The sequence below is a fragment of the Homo sapiens genome, chromosome 9, assembly GCF_000001405.40.
Source record: "Homo sapiens chromosome 9, GRCh38.p14 Primary Assembly".
Classification (NCBI taxonomy): Eukaryota; Metazoa; Chordata; class Mammalia; order Primates; family Hominidae; genus Homo; species Homo sapiens.
In genome coordinates this window covers 130,817,607-130,831,587 of record NC_000009.12, presented here as the reverse complement: position 1 = coordinate 130,831,587, position 13,981 = coordinate 130,817,607, and the positions used below count along the sequence as shown (strand labels likewise).

Genomic DNA, 13,981 nt, shown 5'->3' with positions numbered 1-13,981 from the left:
GAGGGAAGAGTTGCTTATTTTCACTGGGAATAGGACGAACAGGAATGGATATTTCTAAAATTTAATTCATTTGAAAGCAATTTCTGAATTTAAGATAGGCATAGTTCTAGAACAAGTTACCAAAAGAGGACTCTTCTTGGATGATTAGAGGAGAGAGACTGAATTTTTTTTTTAATTTGGAATTTAGTCCTATTAAGAAAAAGTTGGGCAGGCACCCACCATAGAAGTGTGTCAAGGGAAGGAGGCAGGATTCAGGATGTGGATGCTCCATCTCTCAGCAGCAAGACTGGGTGTGAGTGCAGGTGGAACAGAGACAGATGAACCTGACAGGAGGCCTGGCTTGGGACCCCAGGACAAGGTGACCCCAGGTCTGGCTGACCCCTTCACTGTTTCCAGCATAGCTAGTAGCTTTAGGGGGGGAACAGCAAAGATCTTGAGGTATGTGCACAGTATTTCACATGCAAATGCCAACAAAGCCCACTTTCTCTGATTCAGCAAACATTGTCCAGCAAGAGCCTGCCAGGTACTCTAGCTCTGTGGGTCCAGTGTATGTCCAACTAAAGGATAACATAGCTTAAAACATCACTTCTGTCATACCAGTTTTTGCCACTGTATAGGGACACATGCATCCCTTTAAGTCTCACATTTTTTCAATCGGGTAGCACTACCTGCTGGTCACGAGTTATGTGTCACAAAGGCTAGCGCTGAGTCTCAGATCTGCCACTCACTGTGGGGCCATGGGCAACGACTTCACCTCTCAGAGCCTCAATTTTCTCATCTGAAAAATGGGAGGTAGTCATAAGAGTAGTTATCTCACAGGGTTATTATGAAGATTAGGAATCATGTAGGGAGAGTGCCCAAAGCACAGAAGGTGCTCGATAAACAGTAGCTATTGTTATTTCCAAAAGAGGACTATTTCTGTATCAGGTCTGTGTTCCTGCCTACATCTCACTGGGACTCAGTCAAGAGCTCAAATTAACAAACATGCTATATGAAAATGATTCCAGAAAGCAGTCTGGAGGTTTTCCAAGGGACCAGGAAATCAATTTATTTTATGAAGAGAAAGAAACACTAGCTGTGAGGTAGGAGTAGCAACTAAGGTTCAAATGTAACAGAGAGCCCCACCTTTCATCCTAAAGCAAAGATTTGCAACCACAGCTTCAGCAAAACACAAACCCCACACCCCCGCATCTTGAATGGGGGCCTAATTCAGACCCATGATTTCATGCACAGGCTGCACAGATGACTGTCCTTCAAATGACACTGATTTTTCTGTTGGTATTTCCAGGCTATAATTCTCAGCTGGGGACCAAATCTGAACTGCCTTAGAGTAAATCCGCTTTCTAGAAAATCTCATTACAGTAAGACTACTATATTTTTATAATTAACAAGTCTAAACCTAACTGTTAAACATTTTTCTCTAGAAGGAGAAAATTAATGGTATTAGTATGCTCATTTTTTTAAATTAATTTTTCTTTTTAATCAAAGTAATATACATAACATGGTTAAAACTCAAGCAGTACTAAAAGTCTTGTAAAAAAGGCTAAAAATAGTCTTGTAAAAATCTGGTAATAAAAAACAGCAATCCCTTTCCCCTGTATGTTTCCGCAGAGACAGCCTCCTTCAGATTTTTAGCTAGTAACATCATCTTGCTCTTTCTGAATTCATTAGATTTATCCATTATCTATTAACTTATGACAGCAGTATTATACTATCACCATCCATAACCCCCCAAAACAATAAAATCACAATTTGGGGGATAAATCAATAGTTAGTGTTTACATTATTAGGATGATATAAATATTCTTCACTGCTTAGCCAATAATATACTATGAATGTTTCCTTTATTATACATCTTTGTTTATCCTAGAGATATTGCCTTGTTTTCATTTAGTCTTCTATATACCTATCACCATTTTCCCTCAAATACTTCAAAGATCTGTCAAACATCTAGTGATATTTTTTCCAATCACTAAAACATTTCAAATATTCTCAGTTGTACTTTTTTTTTTTTTTTTTTTTTGAGACGTAGTCTCGCTCTGTCACCCAGGCGGGAGTGCAGTGGCGCGATCTCCGCCCACTGCAAGCTCCGCCTCCCGGGTTCACCACGCCATTCTCCTGCCTCAGCCTCCCGAGTAGCTCGGACTACAGGGGACCGCCACCACGCCCTGCTAATTTTTTTGTATTTTTAGTAGAGACGGGGTTTCACTGTGTTACACCAGGATGGTCTCAATCTCCTGACCTCGTGATCTGCCCGCCTCGGCCTCCCAAAGTGCTGCGATTACAGGTGTGAGCCACCGTGCCCGGGCTCAGTTCTACTTATTGACTGACTTCTTCATTTTGCTGGAATTCATCATCCAGTAGCTTCACAGAGGTGGGGAGGGAGGGTGCATGTCTAAAAAAATACCTTTCTTCTATCTTGACAGTTTGTCTGGGTATAGAATTCTAGGTTGAAAATAATTTTCCCAAATGAACTTTGAAGGCATTTATTTATCTGCTACTATCTAGTTTCCAGTAAGTATTGTTTAGAGATGCAATCCCATTCTGGTTCCTGACCCCTTAAAATGACTTGCTTTTTTTCTCTTTGGAAACTTTTAGGATCTTCTAATATTCTTGGTGTTCTGAACTTTCACAATGATATGGCCTTTCATATATTATTCTGGGCACTCATAAATCCAGAGATTTATATAATTCTGTTTTGGAAAATACTCACTTCACTAAACTCTGAAATTTTTCCTTACATTTAACGTCTCCTAACTTCTCCTCCATTTGTTTCTTCGTTATTATCATTATTTTTTTGTTTTCTTTCTGGAATTCCTACAAAAAGGATATTAAAGCCCTGGGATTGAGTTTCTAATTTTCTTTTCTTTTTTTTTGAGACGCAGTTTCACTCTTGTTGCTTGCCCAGGCAGGAGTGCAATGGCACAGTCTCGGCTCACTACAACTTCTGCCTCCTGGGTTCAAGCGATTATCCTGTCTCAGCCTCCCGAGAGTTTCTAATTTTCTTACCTGTTCTCTCTTATTGTTCTCTCAACAGTCCATGTCTTTGTCTTTATGTTCTATTAGGTTGGTGTAAAAGTAATCAACGTTTTTGTCATTAAAATGGCAAAAGCCCCAATTACTTTTGTACCAACCCAATACATTCTGAGACAATTTTCCACATCTTCTGTTGGATTTTAAATTTGGGCTATAATGTTTTTAATATTAAACAATTCATTCTTGCTGGGTGTGGTGGCTCATGCCTATAATCCCAGCCCTTTGGGGGGAGGCTGAGGCAGGAGGATCACTTGAGCCCAGGAGTTCAAGACCAGCCTGGGCAACATAGTGAGACCCCATCTCTCTACAAAAAATTTAAAAATTAGCCAGGTGTGGTGGTGCGTGCCTGTAGTCCCAGTTGCTTGGGGGGCTGAGGCAGGTTGGGGCTGCAGTGAGCTGTGATCTTGCCACTGCACTCCAGCCTGGGTGACAGAGACCATGTATCAAAAATAAATAAATAAATAAATAAAAGAAAAATAATTCATTTTTATTCTTATTCTGATTGTTATTGTTTTTAAAAGCATCCTGTTTTCTGACATTTGCAATCTCTCTCTCCAAGGATAGCAAAGAATAGTTCTTTTTTTTTTAAGCAGTATTTGTGGGAAATGCATAGCTTTATTTATTTATTTATTTATTTATTTATTTATTTATTATTTTTGAGACAGAGTCTCACTCTGTCACCCAGGCTGGAATGCGGTGGTGCAATCTTGGCTCACTGCAAGCTATGCCTCCCAGGTTCAAGCAATTCTCCTGCCTCAGCCTCCCAATAGCTGGGATTACAGGTGCCTGCCACCATGTTCAGTTAATTTTTGTATTTTTAGTGGAGATGGGGTTTCACTATGTTGGCCAAGCTGGTCTCAAACTCCTGACCGCAGGTGAACTGTCCACCTCAGCCTCCCAAAGTGTTGGGATTACAGGCGTGAGTCATGGTGCCCAAGCTGAATAGTTCTTTTAAACTCTTCCTCTGTTGACTGCATTGTCTTTATTTCCACCAAGTTCCTGTTTTCTGCTATTTGTTTTACCCTTTATCTATTAATATCAGGTTAGAGACCTTCCTCTAATGCCTAGAGAGATTTGGCAGGCCACTCACTCTCTATGAATGAGCAACTAAAAGATGACTGTTAGTTTTGTATGCGTGGAAGGGGCACAGCCACTGGTAAGCTTCAGTGAAAGGAGATGGTAAACTCGCTTTTTCAAGAGAATCCCTAAATGTTGGTATCTGTAGGGCTTTTCTCTAGGGTCATTCAACTTTTTCCCCCTAGAAAAGAATATTTCAATCTCTTCCTTATTAGGCCCCTGGCTAGCAGGTATTAGAAGAGGGCTGGGAATCTTACTATTCAGTATGCAGACTTTTAAAAAATCTGCTCTTTGCCCACTCCACTATTTTCGGCCAATGGCCTACCCGGACCCATGCTGGGGGTCAGGCTCCTGAGTGCAGAGCCTCTACGGGGCATTTCTTTTCTTTTTTTTTTCTGAGGCGGAGTCTTGCTCTGTTGCCCAGGCTGGAGTGCAGTGGCGCCATCTCGGCTCACTGCAAGCTCCGCCTTCAGGGTTCACGCCATTCTCCTGCCTCAGCCTCCTGAGTAGCTGGGACTACAGGCGCCCGCCACCACGCCCGGCTAATTTTTTGTATTTTTAGTAGAGATGGTGTTTCACCACATTAGCCAGGATGGTCTCGATCTCCTGACCTTGTGATCCGCCCGCCTCGGCCTCCCAAAGTGCTGGGATTACAGGCGTGAGCCACCGCGCCCGGCCGGGCATTTCTCAATATAATGCCTCTGGTCTCCTGTAGGTGGTTAGGAGAGGTGGTCATCTGACTCTGTGGGGTTGGGAGGGGTTTGAAGAATCTAAACCCTCCTTTTATAGGCTCTCAATTGATCCCCTTGATTTCAGCTTCAGGCCTCATCCCCTGCTTTCTGTGGTACTAATGTCTCTAATTTCTGACCTTTCCGCAGATTCTTACAGGCAAACCAGCTCACTCTTAATCAAGGTCTCTCTCAGAAGAGGTTTTGGCATCCTTGATTCTGCTAAATCTATTACCACTCTCTTTGCCTTTCTTATCCCCTACTGTCTCCTTTGGGCTCCTTTAGTCCTTACACATCTTCACTTAAAATATGTATATATATATTTTGGCCAGGCGTGGTGGCTCATGCCTGTAATCCCAGCACTTTGGGAGGCCAAGGCAGGTAGATCGTTTGAGCTCAAGAGTTTGAGACCAGCCTGGCCAACATGGCGAAACCCCATCTCTACAAAATACACAAAAATTTGCTGGGCGTGGTGGTGTGTGCCTGTAATCCCAGCTACTCAGGAGGCTCAGACAGGAGAATCGCCTGAACCCAGGAGGTGGAGGTTGCAGTGAGCCGAAATTGCGCCGACTCTGTCTCAAAAAAAAAAAAGAAATCTTTTTATTGTCATTTTAAGAATTTATTTTCCCCATATTGCATTTCAGACAACTGTGACACAGATAGGTTATATAACTTGCCCTAGGTCACATAGCAAGTTAGTGGCAGAGCAAGGAAAACCCCTATCTTCAAACTCCCTTGTTAGATCCCTTTCCTGTGACATGACACCTACTAGGTACCCATGACAGACAAGTTTTAGGACACTAGGCTGAAAAACTAAAATTTGTTGCAAACTATAGGTTTTAAATCTTAATTTCGCTGATGGCGAAGAAACAACAAAACTCTAAATTCTTAAATCCAGTTACAACACTGTACCTTAAGGTTTAATTATAAACAGAAATATTATTAAGCAAAAATGGTTTGGGATATTCTTATTAAACTCTAAGTGCTTGAATTAAACTTAAAGAGATTTTGCCATGTTTTCATGAGATGTCTCTGTCCCTTTACCTTTTTACCAAATAATTTTAAATCACTAAGTCTTGTTTGTTTTTAATCTGAATATTGAAGATTAAGATATCTATAAAACAAATACATCAAAAATAGCAATGTTACAGCTTTGTTGCAATAGAAAATAGCAATGCTGCAAAAACCCTAAAGCTGTCAAATTATTATCTGTGTGATAAGATTTATGATGAGGTAAACTCAGCCAAGTAGGAGGAACTGATAAAAGAAAAGCCCAAGCCCTGGTTATTGACAAGCTCCTTTTGTTTAAAATGTTGTTAACTTTGAATTGGTAAACCAATGGTTAATATTTTCCTCTCTTTCTCTAAGACTAAAAGAATCTGCAAAAGCAGCAGAGCAGGCCTAGGAGATCACGTTACATTTGGGGGTGGGGGAAGAAGGCAGCTGGAGGGGAGTGTAGAGAGAAGGGCTAAAAGGGAAAGAAAACAAGTTGTCTAAACCTCCCCACAGTGTAAAACCCAGCAGGGATTAGGAGGTAGTGGAGGAGCCAGTGTTTATCCAAGTTATCTCTGGGGCAGTTGGAATTGGCTATAAAAGTATAGTCTCCTCCAGTATGAAGATCCTGTCAGCAGCCTAGAGCTGTACCCCATGACAGCAAAGTTCTTGGTAATTGTTACCAAGGCTGGAAACCCTAGAAATGAAATACTAAAGGGGAGTTAATGTTTATTTCTTCAAACCATTCAGTACCAATTTGTTTTGTTGTCAAGGTTTTCAACACACACAAAGGACAAATGGAACCAGAAGATTTCTTCCCTCTGCTTGTTAGAAATGACTGCTGTCCTTAGAGGAGCAATGGGATCTCTAAACGGAACTGCTCTTTTTCTTCCTTAAAGTGACAGATGTGGCATATTAATCCAGAACTACATATTAACTGAACAAGAGCAGCTACAGTTAACCTTGGAGAAACTGTTCACTAAGTGGCACTGTGGTGATGGCAGGAAAGGGCTCGCTCAGTGGCCATGCAGCCGCTTGAAAACAAAACAGCAAAGCAGAGTTTTGCTTCCAAAGGCAACCTGGTAAAAGCTGTCCTCCTTGTTTACCACCCCTCCTACGAGCTGGTGCCTAAGATCTGTATTCTTTACAGCAACACCAAAATCAAATTTAATGTCTAAGTTATTTTCATATTCCCTAAGTGTGGTGGTTAAATGTATGTGTCAGCTTGACTAGACCCCCAGGATGCCCAGATCTTAAACATTATTTCCAGGTGTGTCTGTGAGGGTGTTTCTAGAAGAGACTAGCATTTGAATTGGTGAACTGCCTAAGCAGATGGCCCTCCCCACTTTGGCTGGGCATCCTCCAGTCCGTTGAGGGCCTGATTAGAACAAAAAAACAGAAAAAGGAAGGTTGGATTTACCCTCCCTCTGCCTGCTTGAGCTGGGACATGGATCTTCTCCTGCCCTCAGCCCTCTGGGTTCTCAGACCTTCAGACTGGAATCCACATCACTGGCCCTCAGCTCTCAGGCCTTCAAACTACACCAGCAGCTTTCCTGGGTCTCCATCTGGCAGAGAGCAGACTGTGGGACTTCTTAAGCTCCATCATCTCATGAGCCAATACCTTATAATCAATCTCTTCAAAAGATACACTTTTAGGATATCTATTCCGATAGACAGACCCTATTGTTTCCTGTGTCTCTGGAGAGAACTGTAATACACTAGGCAATAATCAGTCGTATTTATAGTTATTTCACATGACAAATGTTCTGGTGTAATTCAACAGTAAAATTAACTCCTCAATAACACTTAGGCCAACAATTGCATATCAACTAGACTTTCTTTGATGAAAATGAACAGGAATCCCACACAGGACCCTGCAATCCCAACACTGGCTCTCGACATCTGTTTTTTCTCCTGCCTTCAATCCCTAAGTTTTAGGCCTTAACCCCTCAGTTGCAGATGGGACACATCACCCCAGAATAAAGACTCCATTTCCCAGTCTCTCTTGTGGCCAGGCACTACCACATGACTAAGTGATGGTATGTGGGCAAAAGTGCTGTGTAAGACTTCTGGGTCAGGTTCTTCAAAGCAACAGGCACGCACTCCCTCTCCTCTTTCTGGTGTCCACTGCCTGTGAGGGGCCATGGCAGCTGGCGTGGGCATTTTGGATCCTGAGGTAGAAGCTGTGCCTTACAGAGTAAGGGACAGGAGGTGTCTGACCCTGAGGAGCCATCGTGCCCCTCCAGGACCGCGACTGTCAGCCTGTTACAGAGAGAAGCATCTCGCTTGTTTGAATTGCTCCTATTTTGGGTCTGTAACAGCCATTTAGTCCTTATGGTAATAATGTTAAAAGGTCAGTTCTAACTCGCATTAACCTAAGAATTCCCCAAATCAATCTTTTGTTTTCTTTCTCCATTGAAAACTGTTAATAGAAGGAGAGGTGTTTGAAACAGTCCTGTAACCTTTAGAAAATTGAAGAGTGACCCAAATCATCCCCGTGAAACATGCAGCCCAGTGTCCAGCTCCTAAAAAACATTCAAATATTAAACATTATTATGATTACTATTAACTATCCCTTTTCCTTTCTATAAACTTGCACTGGTGTAAGGAAGATAAAAAGCTACATGTGCTATCATATACCTGATAAAGAACTTGGAAGGCCGGGCACGGTGGCTCACACCTGTAATCCCAGCACTTTGGGAGGCCGAGGTGGGAGGATCACGAGGTCAGTAGTTTGAGACCCGTCTGGCCAAGATGGTGAAATCCCGTCTCTACTAAAAATTCAAAAATTAGCTGGGTGTGGTGGTGCAAGCCTGTAGTCCCAGCTACTTGGGATGCTGAGGCAGAAGAATCGCTTGAACCCAGGAGGCAGAGGTTGTAGTGAGCTGAGATCGTGCCACTGTACTCCACCCTGGGTGACAGAGCGAGACTCCATCTCGAAAAAAAAAAGAACTTGTACCCACAATACAGAGAACTCTTACCACTCGATAATAAGACAGTGCACAAACTTAATAAAAAAAAATAGGCAAAAGATTTGAATTGACAGGTCACCAAAGATGAAATACAAATGGCTAATAAGCACATAAAAAGATGTTCAGTATCATTAGTCATTCAAGAAATGGAAACTAAAATCACGAGATGCTGCTTCACACCCATTCCAATAGCTATAATCAAAAGACAGACAACCCCTGGTACACTGGTGTGTGCCTATAGTCCCAGCTACTAGGGAGGAGCACTTGAGCCCAGGAGTTTGAGGCCAGCCTGAACAACACAGCAAGACCCTGTCTCTTAAAAAAAAAAAAAAAAAAAAAAAAGCAGGGGCGGGGATAGGTAGGCAGACAAAACCAACTATTGGCAAGGACATGGAAAAACTGGAACACTCACACATTGCTGGTGGGAATGTAAATGGTACAGTCACTTTAGGAAATAGTTTGGCAGTTTCTTAAAAAGTTAAACATAAACTTACTATAAGACAGCAATTTGACCGGTCGTGGTGGCTCACGCCTGTAATCCCAACACTTTGGGAGGCCAAGGTGGGTGGATCACCTGAGGTCAGGAGTTTGAGACCAGCCTGATCAACATGGTGAAACCTCGTCTCTACTAAAAATACAAAATTTGCCAGGCATGGTGGCTCACGCCTGTAATGCCAGCACTTTGGGAGGCCGAGGCAGGCAGATCACGAGGTCAGGAGAGTGAGAGCATCCCGGCTAACACAGTGAAACCTCGTCTCTACTAAAAATACAAAAAATTAGCCGGGGGTGGTGGTGGGTGCCTGTAGTCCCAGTACTTGGGAGGCTGAGGCGGGAGAATGGCATGAACCCGGGAGGCAGAGCTTGCAGTGAGCTGAGATCGCGCACTGCACTCCAGCCTGGGTGACAGAGCGAGACTCTGTCTCAAAAAAAAAAAAAAAAAATAATAATAATAATAGCCAGGTGTGGTAGCACATGCCTGTAATCCCAGCTACCCGGGAGGCTGAGGCAGGAGAATCACTTGAACCAGGGAGGCGGAAGTTGCAGTGAGCCAAGATTATGCCATTGCACTCCAGCCCAGGCAACAAGAGCAAAACTCCATCTCAAAAAAAAAAAAAAAGACTCAGCAATTTTACTTCTAGAAATCTACCCTAGAGAAATGAAAATGTATATCCACACAAAGACTTATACATGGATATATATAGTAGCATTGTTAATGATGACCAAAACTGGAAACAATCCAAATGTTCACCAACTAGTGAATAGAGAAAAATGTATGTCCGTACAATGGAATAATACTCAGTGATAAAAAGGGAACAAAGTACTGAGACGTGCTATAATACAGATAAACCTCAAAAACATGCTGGGAAAAAAAACAGTCACAAAAGGTCATATATTGTATAAAACTTCATTTACATGAAACGTACGGAAAAGACAAATCTATAGAAAAAGCAAATGAATGGTCGCCTGGGGCTGGAAGTGGGGGTAGGACTGCTGCAAAGGGACAAAAGGGATCTTTTGGGGATGCTGGAAATGTTCTAAAACTGGATTGTGGGGCCAGGTGCGGTGGCTCACGCCTGTAATCCCAGCACTTTGGGAGGCTGAGGCTGGCGGATCATGAGGTCAGGAGATCGAGACCATCCTGGCTAACATGGTGAAACCCTATCTCTACTAAGAATACAAAAAACTTAGCTGGGCATGGTGGCACGTGCCTGTAGTCCCAGATACTCGGGAGGCTGAGGCAGGAGAATCGCTTGAACCCGGGAGGTGGAGGCTGCAGTGAGCCGAGATTGCACCACTGCACTCCAGCTTGAGTGACAGAGTGAGACTCTGTCTCGAAAAAAAAATAAAAAATAAAACTGGATTGTGGTTATGGTGCACACTCTATAAATTTAGTAGAAATCATTGAATTGAACATTCAAATGGTAAATTTTATGGCATATAAATTACACCTCAGTAAAACTGCTAATAAAAAAGGGGAAAAAGCAATATGTTATATGATTTTAACACCTTTTTCTAAGTGGATGTCATATAAATGATGAGACAAAGGATTAGAAATGCACCCAGTGAGGGCTGCTCAGTTCCAAGCTGCAAACACAGAAAGACTGTGCTGTACGTGTTGTTGGTTTTCAGCTTATTTACTGATGCTTCTAATGAGAGCTATGTCTGGACAGTCAGCCTGAAATGATTCCACCCAACTCTGACGCCTCTCCTCCCAACGCCCAGTGCAACGAAACTCTGCAAAGAGGTGTGTGTGAGGGGAAGGTTGTATACACACAAATGAGATGATCAAGACTGGGTGGGAGTGGGGAGATGGAATACAGGTTGACTCAAATAAAGACATCTGAGAAAGCCAGCAATCCAGCACAGTGAAGACAGTGAGGCACAGAAACACATCTTCCATTCACAGGAAGCATTTGGACGCCCTCACAAGTAATGGCAGCTTTCCAACCTGCAGCCTTTGCAAAGGCATGAAGGGCTGCCATTTGTAGAGTTCCCAACTACATACCATGACCCCACCTGCATCTTATGGGCAGTACAGTTCCAACTGTTAAATCTCTCATGGAAACCAAGTATCATGGTAAATTGCTTAAGATCAAAATGTTAAGAATTAAAAATCTACTGTAGGAAAATGTCTAGGTAGTAAACATGTTTCCAAAGTGCTGAGAAAGAGAAGCAATCAATTAAATATTGGAATTAATTAACAATAAATATTTCATGAGTGTGAAACTTGTGAACTGCAGTGACTGAAGTCCAACAAGCAGAAGTCACCAAAGATAGGGTATAGAGAAGCCAAGTGTCCTCTGAAGCTGAGAGCCCACCAATGACCAAAACACCTGGTATAAATGTCCATACCAGGAATGCCTGGAGAAACAGAAGTCACAGCAAAGTAGAAGCAGAAACACCTCCTGCTGTAAAAAAAAAAAAAAAGTAGGTATTTTTCAGCTGGGCGCGGTGGCTCACGCGTGTAATCCCAGCACTTTGGAAGGCTGAGGCGGGCGGATCACGAGGTCAGGAGTTTGACACCAGCCTGGCCAGCACGGTGAAACTCCATCTCTACTAAAAATACAAAAAAAAAGTAGCCGGGCATGGTGGTGTGTGCCCGTAGTCCCAGCTACTGGGGAGGCTGAGGCAATAGAATTGCTTGAACCTGGGAGGCGGAGGTTGCAGTGAGCTCAGATCGTGCCACTGCACTCCGGCCTGGGTGACAAAGTGAGGCTCCGTCTCCAAAAAAAAAAAAAAAAAAAAAAAGGTATTTTTCTTCACTTCCTGGTCTCATTTGGCTGGTTTAGCTCTCCTAAAAATGCTTGACTTATCAGAGATTTGGGAATGGCCCTTTCATTCAACGAACATTAGAGAGGCAGCTGTGATGAAGATGACAAAAAAGGATGAGAAAATTTATTTTGTCTTTTATTTATTTATTTATTTTTGAGATGGAGTCTCGCTCTGTTGCCCAGGCTGGAGTGCAGTGGCACAATCTCAGCTCACTACAACCTCCCCGCCTCCTGGGTTCAAGCGATTCTCCTGCCTCAGCCTCCCGAGTAGCTGGGACTACAGGCATGTGCCACCACGCTCAGCTAATTTTTGTATTTTTAATAGAGACAGGGTTTCACTATGTTGGCCAGGCTGGTCTCGAACTCCTGACCTTGTGATCTAACCGCCTCGGCCTCCCAAAGTGCTGGGATTAGAGGCATGAGCCATCGCGCCCGGCAGGATGAGACAATTTCTGACCTCCAAGGATGCACAGTCTTGAGAAAGAAGCTGAGAGAGAGGGAGAATCAGACACTGAAAGAACTGCAAAGGCCAGAAAAACTCAATAATAAACATACGCACAACAGCTACAGGGGCCCAGAGTGGTTAGTTCTGCCTGCAGGTGTTAGGAAAGCGTTCTTGGGGGAGAAATTGGAAATGCAGATATAGTGAAAGAATCTTCCTTTTTATCATTTTCCTTTCAGAATTTAGAAATCAATTAAAAACATACAAGTGACCCATACATGCATGCTGAATTGATCTTCCACAAAGGTGAAAGGGCAATTTAATGAAAAGAGGCTATCTGTTGAACAAATGGTGCTAGAACATCCGAAACCCCTATGCAAGATGATGACTCTCGAGCAATACCTGGCACCACATACACCATTTAATGTGAAATGAATTATAAGCCTAAAAGTTAAATTAAAACTTATAAATCTTCTAGAAAAAAAACAGAAGAATCTTTGTAAACTTGAGTTAGGTGAAGATTTCTTAGCTACAATACCCAATGCATGAAACTTAAGAGAAATCACTGATAAACTGAAATTTTATTTTATTTTTTTTTGAAATGGAGTTTTGCTCTGTTGCCCAGGCTGGAGTGCAGCAGTATGATCTCAGCTCACTGCAACCTCTTCCTCCAGGGTTCAAGTGATTCTCCTGCCTCAGACTCCTGAGTAGCTGGAACTACAGGCATGCGCCACGATGTATGGCTAATTTTTATATTTTTAGTAGAGACAGGGTTTCGCCATGTTGGCCAAGCTGGTCTCAATCTCCTGGCCTCAAGTGATCCACCCTCCTCGGTCTCTCAAAGTGCTGGGATTATAGGCATAAGCCACCCAGCCTGGCCCGATAAACTGAATTTCATCAAAATCAAAAACTTCTGCTGTTCTAAAGATACTGTTAAGAGAATAGAGACAAGTCACAGAACGAAGACCAAATGGAGCAACTGGTGTGAATACATATGGTGTGAACTGCTGGTAGTAATGCAAAATAGCACCCTTACTTTGTAAAATACTGTGGCAGGGTCTCCTAAGTTAAGCATATACTTATCCTACGACCTAGCAATTCTACTCCTAATTATTTACCGAAGAGAAATGAAAACTTATGTCCACACCAAAGCCTCTATGTGAATGCTTACAGTGGCTTTATTCATAATCACAAAAAAACTGGAAACAACTCAAATATCCTTCAGTGGATGGATGGATCAATACACGGGTACATCCATACAATGGAACACTACTCAGCAATAGAAAGGAATGAACCACTGATTACATGCAGCGACACATATGGATCTGTTAGAAATGCTTGTTCCCTGGTGCCCTGAAGAAAAAGCACTTGAACATAAATTTAATTTCCTCAGCAAGGCCATTTTTTACTTTCTGCAGAAAGGGTACACTCACCAGCAGTTTTGCCATGAGAGTACACTGA

General features: G+C 42.6%; 1 protein-coding gene across 1 annotated transcript in view, besides 5 other annotated features; it reads right to left on the bottom strand.

Moving 5' to 3' along the window:
• ABL1 (ABL proto-oncogene 1, non-receptor tyrosine kinase) overlaps positions 1-13,981 on the bottom strand; it is a 174,633-nt gene that overhangs the window by 56,088 nt on the left and 104,564 nt on the right. The window lies entirely within an intron of this gene.
• Positions 1-13,981: part of a biological region, named in NCBI's record as "ABL breakpoint recombination region", that runs on past both edges of the window. NCBI's record gives its function as "recombination_partner: LOC107963947 | LOC107963948 | LOC107963951 | LOC107963955 | LOC107966121 | LOC107966125".
• Positions 1-13,981: part of a mitotic recombination region, noted in NCBI's record as "ABL minor-breakpoint recombination sub-region recombines with the BCR-ABL minor-breakpoint cluster region, producing the e1a2 transcript", that runs on past both edges of the window. NCBI's record gives the evidence for it as "EXISTENCE:nucleotide sequencing assay evidence [ECO:0000219][PMID:20703256]".
• Positions 1-13,981: part of a mitotic recombination region, noted in NCBI's record as "ABL major-breakpoint recombination CML sub-region recombines with the BCR-ABL major-breakpoint cluster CML sub-region within the BCR-ABL major-breakpoint cluster region, producing the e13a2 and e14a2 transcripts", that runs on past both edges of the window. NCBI's record gives the evidence for it as "EXISTENCE:nucleotide sequencing assay evidence [ECO:0000219][PMID:20703256]".
• Positions 1-13,981: part of a mitotic recombination region, noted in NCBI's record as "ABL major-breakpoint cluster ALL sub-region recombines with the BCR-ABL major-breakpoint cluster ALL sub-region within the BCR-ABL major-breakpoint cluster region, producing the e13a2 and e14a2 transcripts", that runs on past both edges of the window. NCBI's record gives the evidence for it as "EXISTENCE:nucleotide sequencing assay evidence [ECO:0000219][PMID:20703256]".
• Positions 1-13,981: part of a mitotic recombination region, noted in NCBI's record as "ABL micro-breakpoint recombination sub-region recombines with the BCR-ABL micro-breakpoint cluster region, producing the e19a2 transcript", that runs on past both edges of the window. NCBI's record gives the evidence for it as "EXISTENCE:nucleotide sequencing assay evidence [ECO:0000219][PMID:15843824]".